The sequence below is a fragment of the Homo sapiens genome, chromosome 17 (assembly GCF_000001405.40).
Source record: "Homo sapiens chromosome 17, GRCh38.p14 Primary Assembly".
In the NCBI taxonomy this organism is placed as follows: Eukaryota; Metazoa; Chordata; class Mammalia; order Primates; family Hominidae; genus Homo; species Homo sapiens.
This window is the reverse complement of record NC_000017.11, coordinates 76,169,482-76,186,318: the sequence shown is the minus strand read 5'-3', so window position 1 is coordinate 76,186,318 and position 16,837 is coordinate 76,169,482. Positions and strand designations below refer to the sequence as shown.

The 16,837-nt window shown below is 45.3% G+C and overlaps 1 protein-coding gene across 8 annotated transcripts in view; it reads left to right on the top strand.

Annotated features, from left to right (window-relative positions):
* Positions 1-16,837, top strand: part of RNF157 (ring finger protein 157) — a 98,020-nt gene that overhangs the window by 54,175 nt on the left and 27,008 nt on the right. For 6 of the 8 annotated variants that reach the window (NM_001330501.2, XM_047435287.1, NM_052916.3 and 3 more), the window contains exon 3: positions 12,529-12,617. In NM_001330501.2, the coding sequence (NP_001317430.1) occupies positions 12,529-12,617 (89 nt within the window). Of the gene's footprint in view, positions 1-10,505; positions 10,572-12,528; positions 12,618-16,837 lie in introns of all 8 variants that reach the window. The other 2 variants (XM_047435288.1, XM_017024120.3) reach the window with 1 other exon arrangement.

Here is a 16,837-nt window from a genome sequence, read left to right as displayed (position 1 = left end):
GGCCAGGCTGGTCTCAAACTCCTGACCTCAGGTGATCCACCCACCTCAGCCTCCCAAAGTGCTGGGATTACAGGCATGAGTCACCGCACCTGGCCCATAAATAGTTTTAGAGTCGATGTTTTTTAATGGGACATGAAAGGACAGCTTGGAGTTTTTCAGCTTGAAGACCAGTTTACAGTTTCTTATTTTTTATTTTTGAAATAGAGAGTAGGGAAGATTTTGGTCCTCTTGCCCTTAGTAATTGGCCTATCAAAAATGCCTCTGTTTTAAAATATCTGGGAAACTTAATACTTGGCATTAGAACGTTCAAATACTTGCTTAGGAAGAAATATATATATATATGTTTTATATTTTTAAATGCCTATTTAGTCTGATACTGGTGCTTGCTTCTGTAAGCATATTCTTCACATACATACAGTATCAAGGCATCTCAAAACCTGCTGCTTAAAAGTGTATTCTAATTTGTGAGCTGGTTTATGAATCTCCTGACCAAATGAAATCAGGAAGTGAGGTAGTGAGGATGGGTTGCTCGTGTGAAAGGAGTAATCTCGGCCGGGCGCGGTGGCTCACGCCTGTAATCCCAGCACTTTGGGAGGCCGAGGCGGGCGGATCACGAGGTCAGGAGATCGAGACCATCCTGGCTAACACGGTGAAACCCCGTCTCTACTGAAAATACAAAAAATTAGCCGGGCGTGGTAGCGGGTGCCTGTAGTCCCAGCTACTCGGGAGGCTGAGGCAGGAGAATGGCGTGAACCCGGGAGGCGGAGCTTGCAGTGAGCCGAGATCGCGCCACTGCACTCCAGCCTGGGCGACAGAGCGAGACTCCGTCTCAAAAAAAAAAAAGAAAGGACTAATCTCTGACCACTAGTCATTATTTACCAACTCGCTGGAGGGGAAAAGATGACTGTGTCTGCTTTATTAAGAGCACGCTTTTCTCCTTTTAACTCAACTTAAAATTAGCTGGTGTTAGGCAAAATCTTTTGCAACTAAAAGCAATTCGTCTTCTGGAAGGTAGTTTTATTCTAGAAGCACAGCATGATTGGGTAGAAGGTTTTAGCCTGCTGGGAAGGGAGGCTTCCTATCTGGGGGGGCCTGGAAGTCAAGTAGGTTCATTTGTCATCTAAGCAGTTCACGTAGCCATGTAGGTGTGTTTAATGACAGAGTGGGACTGAGCATGTTGCCCAGTCTCAGTATTCTCAAACAATGAGTCAAGACCTAAAACATAAGGAGAGATATAGAATGGATCTGTGATGGTCATTACCAAGATCTATGCCATTTTATGATGTGTTCTTTACTCTGTGGTAGGTTTTTCGTACCCTTATCACCTGTTAAGGTGAACAGAGAGAATTGCTTAACTGTGCAATTGCTTAATTAAATATTTTGGAAAAGGTCAACATTAGGTGGGAGGTCATATAGCCATGACGTTGGTCTTGTGTACTTCCTGCCAAGAGACCTAGCAGAGGAGTTCGAAGACTATAAATGGAGTGCTTTCTTGGATTGATTTCTTTGATAGCCAAATCTGAAGACAAAGCATTTTTGTGTGCAAGGTCATCTGTGACACTCTCTTGCTATCTCCCTCATATCTTTGATTTGGGTACAAAGAATATCTTTTATCTTGTCAGCTTTGTGATTACCATTCATTCTAAGCTGGTGATTGGCTCCCCATGAGGATTGGTTGAAAAATTAGTGAAAAGAGGTTTACTGCAGTTAATATAGATCATTGTTGTTCTGATCTACAGCAGGCACATCAGTCTGTCTCAGGGATGAATCTGGGTAAATAGGCAAATTTGTATTCACTTCACAGCATTCAAGCAAATACGAAGCTGCTCTCCCCAACACTGATCCATCACCAGTCTAAAAATATCCACTGGTAAGCCTTGGACACGTTATGTATCTCAGGAGAAGGGAAGCAGAGAAAGCTGGGAAAATAACCAGGCATCAAATAAAAATGAAATAGAATTTAAACACAAAACCCTATAAAAAAAGAGATTATGTAGTACCATGAATGAGTTTTTGATATGACCCCAGGTGTTGGTTTCTATAGTAATTATTATTTGATTCTCTGGCATAAATATTAAATGTCTGCCCAATATACAAAATGTGTACTTTGCTTTTTTTTTTTTTTTTTTAGATGGAGTCTTGCTCTGTCGCCCAGGCTGGAGTACAGTGGCACTATCTTGGCTCACTGAAACCTCTGCCTCCCAGGTTCAAGTGATTATCTTGCCTCAGCCTCCCAAGTAGCTAGGATTACAGGCGCGTGCCGCTGTGCCTGGCTAATTTTTTGTGTTTTTAGTAGAGACGGGGTTTCACCATGCTGGCCAGGCTGGTCTCAAACTCCTGGCCTCAACCAACCCGCCCACCTCAGCTTCCCAAAGTGCTGGGATTACAGGTGTGAGCCACCGCTCCCAGCCTGTACTTTGCTATTTTAATTATAAATTGTCTAAAATGGTTTCCTGTCTTTGGAAGCATATTTTTGGTATTTTGGGTTTTTTGTTTTTACTTAAGTAAAAAAATTAATATAAAATAAATTACATAAATACATAATTTATAATTAAACAAATGAAGAAATAATTGAATAATTGAATGATAAAGGACAGCTCTTCCTTACAGTAGAATCCCAGCTAATAAATGTAGAAAGCTATAATTATTCTATATCCATAAATGTTTTTTAATGTGGAAGAAATGATAGAAATTAGCCAGCTGTGATGACTTGCTTGTAGTCCCAGCTACTCGGGAAGCTGAGGCAGGAGGATCACTTGAGCCCAGTAGTTCAAGGCTGTAGTGCACTATGGTCACAGTGAATAGCCACTGCATTCCAGCATGGAAACATAGCAAGACCCTACCTCTAAAAAACAAAACAAAAAAAAACTTTATGTGAATTTATTTTGGTATATAATTAAATATTATTAGCTGCAGAAGACCAGCATTTTTTCTTTCAGTGGGGTCTCTAACCTACCTGCATCAGAATTGGTTGGAATGTTTATTAAAATACAGATTCCTAGTTCCTACCCCAAACTAGCTGAATCAGAATTCTAGTGACAGGGCCCTGGGATCTGCAGTTTTCAAAAATATTCCCACGTGAGGCCGGGCGTGGTGGCTCACACCTGGAATCCCAGCACTTTGGGAGGCTGAGGCGGGCGGATCGCCTGAGGTCAGGAGTTCGAGACCAGCCTGACCAACATGGAGAAACCCTATCTCTACTAAAAATACAAAAAAATTAGCCAGGCATGGTGGCAGACGCCTGTAATCCCAGCTACTCGGGAAGCAAGGCTGAGGCAGGAGAATCGCTTGAACCCGGGAGGCGGAGGTTGCAGTGAGCCAAGATCGTGCCATTGCACTCCAGCCAGGGCAACAAGAGCGAAAAGTAACCAACAGAAGTATACAATATCAATACTTTCTTTACCTGAGAATTGATGGTAATAATATAGTTTTCATATTATTATGATATATAGGATATATATATCCTATATATCCTATATATCATATATAGGATATATAGGATATATATCTCTCTCATATATATATCTCTCATATATATATATATATATATATATATATGAGACGAGGCCTGAATCTAATAGCAAATGAAAACAAAGTATATACTTTAAAAAAAGATTTATGTTGAAGTTAACTTTATTTTTATGGATGGGATGAATGGATTATTGTGTTTTTTTGTAGACTACTGGGAATTGCCTAATAATTTACACACAGAGTAAGATGTCCTTTCACATGTACTGTGACCATATTTTTTTACAGCAAAAATAGTACAACCGTAGGAGTAGTGTAATATTTGAAATCAGAATGGTAAAAAAAAAAATCTAGGACATGTGATTGATACACACACACACACACACACACACACACACAGACTAAATGCGTGTGTGCCCATGTGTATGTGAATGCACGTGCACCCTTCTGGCCTGCATTTGGGCATGGTCTGGCAATTTCATCTTTCGTCACCAGGTGGCGCTTTGCCGATGTGATGTGCTGGTAAAAGGAAGCTGATGAGCACCAGGGTCAAAAGCCAAAGAGGAGTTGCTCACGTAACACACAGAGCCTTCGTCAGCAAACGCCTGAGGTCCACCAAAAGAGGTCTTCTGGCTGAGCCCAACTCTACTTCCATTCTGGGTTTGAGATGTTTGGGATTTAAGTTATTCTCAGATTCAGGCTTACTTCAGGACAGACACAGCAGCCCAGTCCCAGGAGGATGTTGTATCCAAGCATGCAGGGCACCAGATGCAAGCTTGACGCCCCTTTACAGATGGAACTAAGAGAGGTTTGCTTGACTCTTCACTGTGTCCCTCAGGCCTAGTTCAGTACTCAGGATATAGTGAGAGTGCTGAATGAATGGGTAAATGTCTTTGTTTTTTGAAAATTATTTATTTATTTATTCTTTTTTTTTTTTTTTTTTGAGACAGAGTCTCACTCGGTCACCCAGGCTGGAGTGCAGTGGTGTGATCTCAGCTCACTGCAACCTCTGCCTCCTGGGTTCAAGTGATTCTCCTGCCTCAGCCTTCTGAGTAACTGGGAGTACAGGCACACGCCACCACACCCAGCTGATTTTTGTATTTTTAGTAGAGATGAGGTTTCACCATGTTGGCCAGCCTGGTCTCAAACTCTGGACCTCAGGTGATCTGCCTGTCTCGGCTTCCCAAAGTGCTGGGATTAGATGTGAGCCACCGCACCCGACCATTTTTTGAAAACAATTTAGTGAAGAAGTCGCCATATTTTAGAACTATCTGGCAGTAACACATCTTTGAGCATCTTGGGTGGAAGGTAAACGCTGACTGACGTATCCATTGTGGCTGTGGCTGCTGGCAGTGTTCTCTGACATCACCCTGCCCTCAGTGTACATTTGTATCTTCTGCAGGTACTGTTAGATCTTATAGACAAAGATTTTGTCATACTGTGCTCCAAGAAAGCTCTTCTCTAAGAAGACCTTAGATACTCCTGTTAAAGATAGAAAGGAGTGTGGTGCGTGGTATGATTTTGTACATACTGCCATCTAAGCATAGGGCGCCATTGGAGATTTTTGGCTAGCTTCCAGAACCTTCACAGAATTCAGTACTGTTTGCCATGATGGTATAACTTTCAGACTCCCCGAACTCTGCTCAGGTCCCTGGAACACTCCTAGGATTAGAAGAGCCTGTAGACTTGCCCTACAGTAGAAGCAGTGCAATAGAGTATGGCTTTTGGAGTCAGATGTACCTGGGTTCAAATTGTGGTTCTGCTGCTCATTAGCTCTGGGACCCTGGATGATTACGTGAATCTTTTGAGTCTCGGTTTCTTTATCTGTAGAATGTCAGTTTGTTTAACTGACATTCTTCATTTTTCAGTCGGCTACTGTATTTCTCCGGCATGTTGGACTGTCCTCCAGCATACACACGGAACTTACAGGCTGGTGAGAGGGGCAGGCATGTTGTTCCTTTCGAGAATGTGAAATAAGAGCATACCTAAACTAGAGCTGGATGGCGGTGATGGCCGCACGATAATGCGAATGTGAATGTTACTTAATGCCGCTGAACTGTATACTTGAATATGATTGAGATAGTAAATTTCATGTTATGTGTATTTTACCAAGATAAAAATAAAAAGACCAGGTGTGGTGGCTTACACCTCTAATCCCCGCACTTTGGGAAGCTGAGGCGAGAAGATCACTTGAACTCAAGAGTTTGAGACCAGCCTGGGCAACATAGTAAAACCCCATCTCTACGAAAATTTAAAAATAAAGATAAAAAATATGTAAAGTAAAATGGGGGACAAAAAGAATCTATCTAAAGTACCTAGCATAATGCCTGGCACATAGTAGATACTCAGTTAAATATTTCCTTACATTCTCTTTTTTCATGATTTGCCAAGCTGTAATTGCAGGTTACCCAAGTTTTACCCCATGAAAGGGGCTTTCTTTTGGCAGAGTTTTCTGGTTAGATGAATAGATTAGGGGGATCTGTGCCTTGCTTTTCTGTCGTAAAGGTACTCACACTTAATGTTTGGTCCCCAAATCCCTGAGCAGACCAAATTTCATTCTTTGTTCATGAGTCTTGATCTGAGGCCTGTTTTCATTATAAAAAGTGAAATAGGATTCTAGAAGCTGCATTTAGTTGTCCTTCATAAGGCTGTTAAGGGTTTATTTACTCCAGAATGATACCTGAGAAACAGGAAGCCATTCTATAAATCCATACTGAGCTTGAGGTAAGAGATCAGAAAGCTTCTCAGTCTCCCTCTGTCTGTGGACCTGGGGCATGTTGTGTGCAAGACAGAAAAGGAAGCTCTTCCTGTTTCCGGATATGCCAGGATGCTTACATCAGAAAGACTTTATCTGGTCTTCCTTGTCACCATGCACTCCCTTACTCAGTAGACCTAGGGCTGAGAAAATTACCCTTTGCAGACTCTAAAAAAGAAAACAGAAACTCTGTGGATATGAACTGAGAAAACGATTGCTAATGCTAAGTACAGTGGACTGGTGCATGAGTACTTCAGAAAAATGCTTGGCCCTGAATCTGTTCTGAGCTTCATCTTTCTTGGTCCCAAGAAGGCATTAGTTTTCTTTCCTTTCATACTTACCTGTTAGCATATGAGTGAGATCTCTGGTTTTAGGTTGAAATAAGATACTTATTTTTTGTTTTTGAGACAGAGTCTCGCTTGTTGCCCAGGCTGGAGTGCAGTGGCATGAGCTCAGCTCACTGCAACCTCCACCTCCTGGGTTCAAACAATTCTTCTGCCTCAGCCTCCCTAGTAGCTGGGACTACAGGCCTGTGCCACCACACCCAGCTAATTTTTGTATTTTTAGTACAGATGGGGTTTCGCTATGTTGGCCAGGCCGGTCTCAAAGCTCCTGACCTCAAGTGATCTGCCCACCTCGACCTCCCAAAGTGCTGGGATTAGAGACATGAACCACCACGCTTGGCCTCTTTTTTTTTCCTTTTTGGGATGGTCTCACTCTCTCCCCCAAGCTGGAGTGCAGTGATGCTATCATAGCTCACTGCAGCCTCAATCTCCTGGGCTCAAGTGATCCTCTTGCGTCAGCCTTCTGAGTAGCTGGGACTACAGGTGTGTGCCACCATGCTGACTAAGTTCTACATTTTTTGTGGGGACAAAGTCTCGCCATGTTGCCCAGGCTGGTCTCAAAACTCCTAAGCTCAAGCGATCTTTCTGCCTCAGCCTCCCAAAATGCTGGAATTACAAGCGTGAGCTACTGTGCCCGGCCAGGATACACCTTTTGTCTTAAATATAACTTAGTAATGGTGCATGTATTGAGGAGATAGTGTGGACAAACACAAACATTTATCTGATGTCTTGACTTTAGAAAGGAATGAGAAAATAAATAAATTTGTGTCTTCAGATCTTTTAATAACCAGCACTTTAATCCTTGGAAATCTCATCTCTAGATTAAAAAGCTGCATCCAGAGCGTCTTGGGGAAAGATAAAGGTAGAACGTGTTCAAACCTCAACTCTGCTCCCTTTAAGACATGTTAGTTACTGGAAAAAAAAAAGAGAGAAAAATAACCTCTGCTCCCTAAAACTTGGGGGACTTTAGAGAAGTTTTTCAACCTCTTTGCAACCTCTGTTTTCTTACCTGCAAAAATGGGAACAACCATGACTATTTCACAGGATTCCTCCAAAGATTAAATAAGATAATATAAATAAAGAGCTCAGCATAGTGCCTGGCACATAGTATTATGTGATCTTTGGGGTGTCACTTTTCTGGCTGGAAACCTGTGGCCAGTGGTGCCTTGCACAGGTTCGGCTCAGGCACATTGGGCTTCTTCCACCCACTTGGCCTGACAGGCTGCACTCAGCTCACACTACCAGCCTATATCCCACGCCTCCAAGGGAGACTGCAAGTCAGGCATGGAGCAGCAAGGGGTGTGTGAGCGAGAGTGGGGTCCGGCCACTGTGCAGTCAGACACGCCAGCTGCCGCTGTGGGGCTGGCAGCCCCAGGTGCCAGTATAGGTGCCAGCTGTCTGCGAGGCTGTGGCTGGACCAGGTGCACTGCAAGCAGCTCTCCCGGTTGGCACCAGGGAATGTGGTGGCACCCGGAAGCTTGGAGATGCCAGGAACTACAGGGCCACAAAGAGGAAGTCATAGCCCTGGCTTGGGCAGCTCCCAGGTCTGGGCTCCCCGACGGGCCACAGCTCTTCTCTCCTCTTTGCCTGCAACATGACAAGCAAGGAGCATGTTTCAGTCCTGTTTGTGTTACAGCTCTTTTAGTCCCACCATTCCATGGGTCCAAAATTCTTGTCCTGCAACAAGGAAGAATGAGATACACAGACAAACATAGGGTGAGCAAGACGAAGAGGAGCCTTATTGAGCCTTGGAACAGCTCAGAGGATACCCGCAGTGGGTAGCTCTTTCCGCAGCCAGGGTGTCCTGACAAGTGTCCTAGCATAGAGACCCTGGAGTGGGAAGCTCTTTTCCGCAGGAAGGTCATCCTGTCTTCTCTGCAGCTCTCAGCAGAGAGGAGGCCCTGGAGTGCGTAGCTCCTCTCTGCAGCTGGTCTTATGGACATCTCTGCAGCTATCAGCAGAGAGGAGGCACTGGAGTAGGTTGCTCCTCTCTGCAGCTGGTGGTCCCAACCTCTGCTCTGTTCTGGCTGAGCCTGGGCCTTTTATGGGCCTCAGAGGGGAGGAAGTGCAGGTAGACTGGTCCCTGGGCATCCATGGGCAGGCCTAGAAAAGGCAACACAAGTTCCCACTCCAGTGGGCGGGACTGGCAGCCAGGCCCCCAGCCTTCACGTCCTCCCTGAAGGCCAGCACCAAGCTGCCCTCAGCACCCCCTCGCCTCTCCCCCTTCCCCTTCCCTCATGCTCATCAGTGCCCAAAGTCTGGAAGGGGCCGAGGCAGCAGGGGGCTGGCTTGTCAGCGCTACCCCGAGCATGTGCACTCCTAGCCTGGCTGCAACAGCACCTTGGCTTGGCCCCACACTGCTCTAAGATCAGAGCCAGCACCAAGAGCAAGCAGAAGCTAGGCGGCAGGAGCAGGCACTTCCGAGCCTGCTGGGGCGGGGGGGTGGGAGGGCTTTTCCGTGTCTCCAAGAGCTTATGGAGGCCCCCGATCCACAGCCCAAGGCGGGGCTGCTGCCTGTTCCTGGCTTCCACCGGCTCTGTGGAGCATGCAGCCCCTGCAGCACCCCCTTGCAGCCTGGGGCAGGGGCTCCAGGTCCTCACTGGGCCGGGGCCAGGGCCGGGGCCAGTGTCCAGGGCAGGGTGACATCGCCATGAGCTCTGCCTGTTCCCCCGGTGCTTCACGGGCAGTCTGGGACAGAGTGGATCCTGGGCCTGGGCCTGGGCCAGGCCATCTGCCCAGGAGTGTCAGGCTCAGTGGTCACCCCAATGTGGGGCAGACCTGGGGGCGCAGCCCCAGACGGGCTGCGCAGAACCTCCTCCCGAGGCACAGGAACCTGGCACCCTCGGCAGGGTGGGCACAGTGGCTGCGCCAATGGCCAGGTGCCCGAAGCGGAAGCTGCTCCCACTTCCTGCCCGGGGCCCCTGAAGCATGGCCCCAGCTCCGCGCCCAGGCCTGGCCCTGGCGCTCCATGAGCAAGCGGGACACTGGCCAAGGCCCAGCTCCGCCTCGGGGCTCCTCTTTGCCCTACCGCGCTGCTCTTCTGCCACGCTGCTCCTCTGCTGGTGGGTAACCCGGCCAGCCCCATGGGGTGGCCTCCAGGGCGGCAAGCTGTGGAGGGGCTGTCTGTCTGCTCCCTGCGACCCCCCTGCAGCAGCCGTTGTGATGGCAGCGGCTGCTCTGGACAGCCCACCACTGTCATCAATAGTAAGCACTCAATAAATGGTAATTTTTGAAAGGAAGATAACTCACTAAGAAATTTCGAGAGTAATAGTAGGCAAAATCGATTTACAGAAGAATGGGAGACAACTCTAAGAGCAGAAAAAAAATTTTTTTTAATTTGCCTCTGATCCTACTGTCCCCTCCATCTTCTCTGTTATCTCTGAATTTGCAAATTTCATTTATCCTTTAGGATCCCAGATCAACTACCAACTCCTCCATGAAGCCTTCAGATTACCTCAGCCAGAAATGATCACTTCCTTTATTTTTGCCTTTTGTGGCAAAAAAATATCCATATATTTAATCTCTTTGATATTACAATTACTATGTCAGCTGCCTTATAATGCAGCTTCCTGAAAGAGCAGGGCCTTATCTTCTTGGTTTTCAATCTCTCCTTACTCCTGGCATGGAGTGTTGCATGTAGACTCTGATTGCATGAATGCAAGGCCAGCAAGGCACAAACTTTGGTGGGTAGCAGCCCACGAACAAGCTTCTCCTGAACAGATTTGCCGTTGTTGTCTTGTGCGTGTATGTGTGTGTACAGGGAGAGCCTAAAGTATAGGGGTGGATTTATAAACAATTGAACTCATTGATACCTTTCCTTAAGAGCCAAATAGCTTATGTTTCATTGCCACAGTTATCATCAAATATATTCAAAATGGAGGATAAAGAGTGCCAGGATTTTTTTTTCTTTCTTTTTATTTTTCTCTCTTTTGCGGCAGGGAGTGGCTATGGAGGAGAAAGAGTAAAGAATAAGGGAAAAGACGCATCTTTTTTTTGAAATGCAGGTAGGAGTTATGGATAACGCCCAAGTACCTGTACAAATGAAAATGATTAACTTTGCTACTCCAGAAAAAAATTTTAATCCCAAAGTCATTTATTTTGGCTTTAGAATAGACTAGCGTTTGTGTCGGATTTTCCTGCCTAATTACTTTTTGCTTAAGCTTATTTAAAAATTGTTTTAAATTCCTTTAGTATGACAGCCTAGGAAAGTTGGGGGAGGAGAAACAGGCCACAGATGGGATCTGAACTAGAATTTCAGTTTTACCATGTCAAGGCCTCCTGATGCACTGCTTGCAGGAGGGCAAAGTTGGAGTCAGCTTTGTGGAAAACTGTTTGGCAAAATAATTTTTAAAGTCTTAAAAATATGCTTACTCTTTGATCCTGTAATTCCACTTCTAGGAATTTGTCCTTAGGAAATAATCAAACAAGCATGCAGAAATATAGGGACAAGGATATTCACCACAACATTTATAGCTGCGAAAAAAAGTAAAACCAACATAAAATATTGAATAATATGGAATTGATTAAAGTATGCTATTATCTGCAATGTTATCAAAATTATGGACTTTAAAAATGTTTACCACATCTTTTTAGGTGAAAAAGAAACTGCAAAATAGTATGTTCAGTGTGAAACAGCACATAGATATAGAGGTGGACAGGATGGATGGATAGACGGACGGATGGAGATACGTATTCCATAATGTTAATTTTGGTATTGCCGAGTAGTAAAATTAGGGATAGTTTTGTACTTTTTTGTGTTTTTCAAGTTTTCTGCTTAAACATATATTACTTTGTAATTAGAAAAAACTATCATTTTTAAAAGAATGTATGGTTAATATATCAATGAAAAAGTAAATTACTGCATCATGCCCACAAAGTGAGTAATCTGAATGAAGATAATTTCTATTGAATGTAAGAGTCACATTCATACCTGTGAATTATAAGCAATTATACTGCGTACATTAAGTCAGATGCACCTTAACTATGGTTTAACTATATTGTTTCCCAAGTAAAATAACCATATTCAATAAAAACCTGTGAGGGCACAATTTGATTATAACTTGGGTGTCCTGTTTTGTGATACCACACTATGGAGGTAGACTCTTCTTGAGCCAAGAGAACCACAGTTTTGCAAAGCTGCAGAGACCAGTAGGTTTTTTGGGAATTATATGTTAAAACATTTTGATTGCCCAAATAACATTTTAAAAATACCGGGAACATTTGAAATCATTCTTGATCCTCAGAAGGCAATTCCCAGTGAAATTTTTGGCTATTTCCCCTTTCTTTATCTCATCATTATCAACAACTCAGAACTTCAAATCCAAAGGTCTAAACGGGCAAAGGGGGAAGAAGCGGATGGTAAATGATGAAGACAACCATAAACCTTTGGTGACCCCAAAATAACTCTTGGCTCACATGTTAAAGAGCTCTGCTTTATATGATCAGCTGCAGGGGAAGTTTGTTCTTTACTGTTTGCAAACTTCAGCTCTGTACACATGATGGGGCCCTCTTTTATTTGCGGTCCCTAAACTCCTGGGATACCGCATGGCCTCACCGAAGGAAAGGGCTTGCAGGTCTGGTTCCCTGTCGTCTGAGGTCAGATGGAAAAGCCTTTTGTGATTAACTCGGCCACAGTGTGTCCTTTGGTATTTGGAACTTCAGCGGTTTTTTTTTTTATTATTAATTCTCCAGGTTTTGAACACTGACCGAAATAAGCTTCATATAATGGAAAAAGAAGATAAATCTGGCTCTTTGGGCCCCAAATTGCATCCCAGTTTTCCCGCTAGCTGTGACCTTGAGCAGGTTGACTCAGTATGTCGGAGTTTCAGTTTCCTCACTTAATTAGGAGAGTTGTGCCTTCCTGCCTCACCTCTTAGGGCTATTCTTGGCAAACTGTAAAGCGAGGGACAGCTGTGGGTCTTTTTAAACACACCACCTTCTCCTGCTTTGTTTCTGACACAGTTTCCTTACGCCGCCCCACCTCCCCAAGAACCCGTGAAGACTCTGAGAAGCCTGGTCAATATCCGAAAGGACACACTGAGGCTCGTCAAGTAAGTTCCCAGAGGCTGGGGCCAGGTCCCAGGCACCTTCCTTTGGGGAGGCTGGGGGCTGGGGGACAGACTTCCCAAGGAACTCATACAGCAGTTTCCGGCAGCCCCAGAGCTTGCTTCTCTGGGCCTCAGACAGGAGTGCGGGCGCTACTTTCTGCTGAGATCAGGCCGTCCACACCCATGTTGTTCAGCACTGGATGCAATCGTCTGTGTTTGTGAAAAACTTTCGCTTGCCTAGAAATGCTTAGTATCCTTATTTTATGGATATTTTTTAAAAGGGAAGAAGAATTATTAAGGGAAAATGGGAATTTTTGCAGCTACTCCAACAAGCCAATGTAAAAATGGGAAATTTGAACTTAGAATATCAAATCCTTTATTTTATTGCTATATTTTCTTTTTCTTTTCTTTTTTTTTTTGAGACGGAGTCTCGCTCTGTCACCCAGGCTGGAGTGCAGTGGCGCAATCTCGGCTCACTGCACGCTCCATCTCCAGGGTTCACGCCATTCTCCTGCCTCAGCCTCCCGAGTAGCTGGGACTACAGGCGCCCGCCACCACGTCCGGCTAATTTTTTGTATTTTTAATAGAGACGGGGTTTCACCATGTTAGCCAGGATGGTCTCGATCTCCTGACCTCGTGATCCACCTGCCTTGGCCTCCCAAAGTGCTGGGATTACAGGCGTGAGCCACCGCGCCCAGCCTTCTTTTTCTTTTTTATTCCCTATATCATGTGTCTGTTCTCTAAGGAACTCATAGTGCACTGGGTTGGTTGCTTAATCCTCATCATCAATGTTAATTATCGTCATTTGCCTTCTTGGTGCCATCCTTGAGACAGTGTAATTTTTAGTCTGATACATTCCCACTGCCCGCCACCCCTAGATGATATGTCTACCAAGGCTGTCTGATTCTCTGGTGAAAAAATTTGGTTAGGGCAAATCAAGGTCCCAGATTTTTCTGAATAGGCAAGGAAGATGACTCAGAGACCATCTCATGCTTGTATAGAACAGCCTTATTAGCATTACAATGTTTCTGTCTGATATATATATATATATATTTGAGACAGAGTCTCGCCTTTTTTTTTTTTTTTTTTTTTTTTTTGAGATGGAGTTTTGCTCTTGTTGCCCAGGCTGGAGTGCAATGGCACGATCTCGGCTCACTGCGATCTCGGCTCACTGCAACCTCCACCTCCCAGGTTCAAGGGATTCTTCTGCCTTATCCTCCTAAGTAGCTGTGATTACAGGCATGCATCACCACGCCCGGTTAATTTTGTGTTTTTAGTAGAGACAGAGTTTCTCCATGTTGGTCAGGCTGGTCTTGAACTCCCAACCTCAGGTGATCTGCCCGTCTCAGCCTCCCAAAGTGCTGGGATTACAGGCGTGAGCCACCGCACCTGGCCCAGAGTCTCACTTTGTCACCCAGGCTGCAGTACAGTGGCACGATCTCAGCTCACTGCAGCCTTAACTTCCCGGGCTCAAGCAGTCCTCCCAGCCCTAAGTAACCACTAATCTATTTTCTGTTTCTCTCTCTTAATTTTTTATATTTTATTTGTCCCTGAAGTTTCTGCTGGTTCCCCAGCTATGCTTCTCTCCACCCCAGGGTCAACTCTGGGGAGGAGAGATTCAAGGAGGTACCTGTCTGCTGCAGAACAGTCCCCCGACCTGACCCAGGGGAGTTCATCCAGCAGCAGAGCAGACTAACGAGGCCTCTGGGGCCTGCCATTGCCAGCTACTCTGTCCACTTGGTTTCTCTCATCACATATGGCACATTCACACATTTGATGGAGACCATTCAAGGGCCTGAGCTGCTGTGAGGTCATAGCCTCTGCCGTGGCAGCCTGGCTGCAGCTCTAGAATAGGATGAAGCAGCTGTCATGCGCTAGAAGAACCAGACTTGGAAGCAGCAGAGCAGTTTGCCTCCCAGGTCCACAGATGCTTGCTTGAATGAGTGTCTGAGCTTCAGGTTCTTTTATCTGTAAAATGGTGATAATCAACTTTACCTTTCATGGTGGTTGTCAAAATTAAGGTAACAGAAGGGAAAACACCTGGTGTTCAATAAATGTTAACTTGAAGGGTGTTCTTTGTTTTGTTTTTCTGTGATTATGGGAATAAATTCTGATTCTCGGATTTCCAGGTAAAGATGGAGGATTGAACACCTACTTTTGCTTCCTCTGAAAACCCCATTAAGTAATTATAAACATGTATTTAAAAGGCATAAATCTGGCCGGGCATGATGGCTCATGCATGTAATCCCAGCACTTTGGGAGACCAAGGCGGGCGGATCACCGAGGTCAGGAGTTCAAGACCAGCCTGGCCAACATGGTAAAAACCCGTCTCTACTAAAAATACAAAAATTAGCCAGACATGGTGGCACGCATCTGTAATCCTAGCTGCTCCGGAGGCTGAAGCAGGAGAATTGCTTGAACCCAGGAGACAGAGGTTGCAGTGAGCCGAGATTGTACCACTGCACTCCACTCTGGGTGACAGAGTGAGACTCCAACTAAAAAATAAAAAATAAGGCCCGGTGCAGTGGCTCATGCCTGTAATCCCAGCACTTTGGGAGGCCAAGGCGGGCGGATCACGAGGTCAGGAGATCGAGACCATCCTGGCTAACACAGTGAAACCCCGTCTCCACTAAAAATACAAAAAATTAGCCGGGCATGGTGGCAGGCACCTGTAATCCCAGCTATTTGGGAGGCTGAGGCAGGAGAATGATGTGAACCCGGGAGACAGAGGTTGCAGTGAGGCGAGATTGTGCCACTGCACTTCAGCCTGGGCGACAGAGTGAGACTCCATCTCAATAAAATAAATAAATAAAAAATTTTAAAAATTTCTTTAAAAAGGCATAAATCTGTAAATATTTGGAGAATGGGAAGAGAGCAACAGCAACAACATTTTAGAAGCTGGAAACACATAGTGAACGTTAAATGACTTAGTAGACCCAGGAAATCAGAATCCTGAACTAGCAGAAAGAAAAGCTGAGAATCACCCAATTTATACTGTGATATTATCCCCCAAAGGGTTCAGAAATTAGCAGTGCCAGGTCCCTCTAGAAGTTGAGGTGGGAGGCTAAAATGAAGAGGATTGGTAGAAAGTCTGCCTTCAAGGTAGGCAGATCCTCTCCCTTGTACCACACAGCCAGAACTACATTCCTACACCTTGGCCAAAGGCAGGCAGATGACTCTCCCTGGAAAGGTCAAAACAGAGAATCTCTGGACAAGAGAGACCCAGGCACAGCTAATGGCCAGTACTAAAAACAGGCTAACCAGCCTGGGCAATATGGTAAAGCCCTGTCTCTACAAGAAATACAAAAATTAGCCAAGCATGGTAGTGCACACCTGTAGTCCCAGCTACTTGGGAGGCTGAAGTGGGAGGATCACCTGGGCCTAGGGAGGTCAAGGCTGCAATGAGTCACGATCACAGCACTGCACTCCAGCCTGGGCAAGAGTGAGACCCTGTCTCAAAACAAAACAGCAGGTGAGTGGATCCTGGCATACTGGATGTTGAGCCCTCCAGCTGCCTCTCCATTCTGCCCCTAGAATGCTGGCAGCCAGGCCTTTGTCAAGAGAGAGGAAAACTGTTTTCTGGAAATTGGACCTGCCTGGATAGGAAAACCTAAGAGACTAGAGTTAGAGGTTCCTCAACAGATCCAGGTCAGCCCACAGTGAAGCCCAGGATCCCCAAGTCCTGCTGTGCACTCAGAGCTCTAATCAGCAGTTTAAATATCTTAAATACAAGCAGACAGCCACAGATTCTTAGATGTGTAAGGAATGCCTATAATAGGAAAGACAGTAGCAAAACAAACCAACATTTTAAAACAACCTAACTAGGCCAGGTGCGGTGGCTCACGCCTATAATCCCAGCACTTTGGGAAGGTGAGGCGGGTGGATCACTTGAGGTCAGGAGTTCGAGACCAGCCTGGCCAACATGGAGAAACCCCATCTCTACAAAAATACAAAAAAATTAGCTGGGCCTGGTGGCACACGCCTATAATCCCAGCTACTTGGGAGGCTGAGACGGGAGAATCACTTGAATCCAGGAGGCAGAGGTTGCAATGAGCCAAGATCGTGCCATTGCACTCCAGCCTGGGTGACAGATCAAGACTTCATCTCAAAAAAAAAAAAAAAAAACCTAACTAGGCCGGGTGTGGTGGCTCACACCTCTAATCCCAGACCTTTGGGAGGCCAAAACAGGAGGATCACTTAAGCCCAGGAGTTTGAGACCAGCC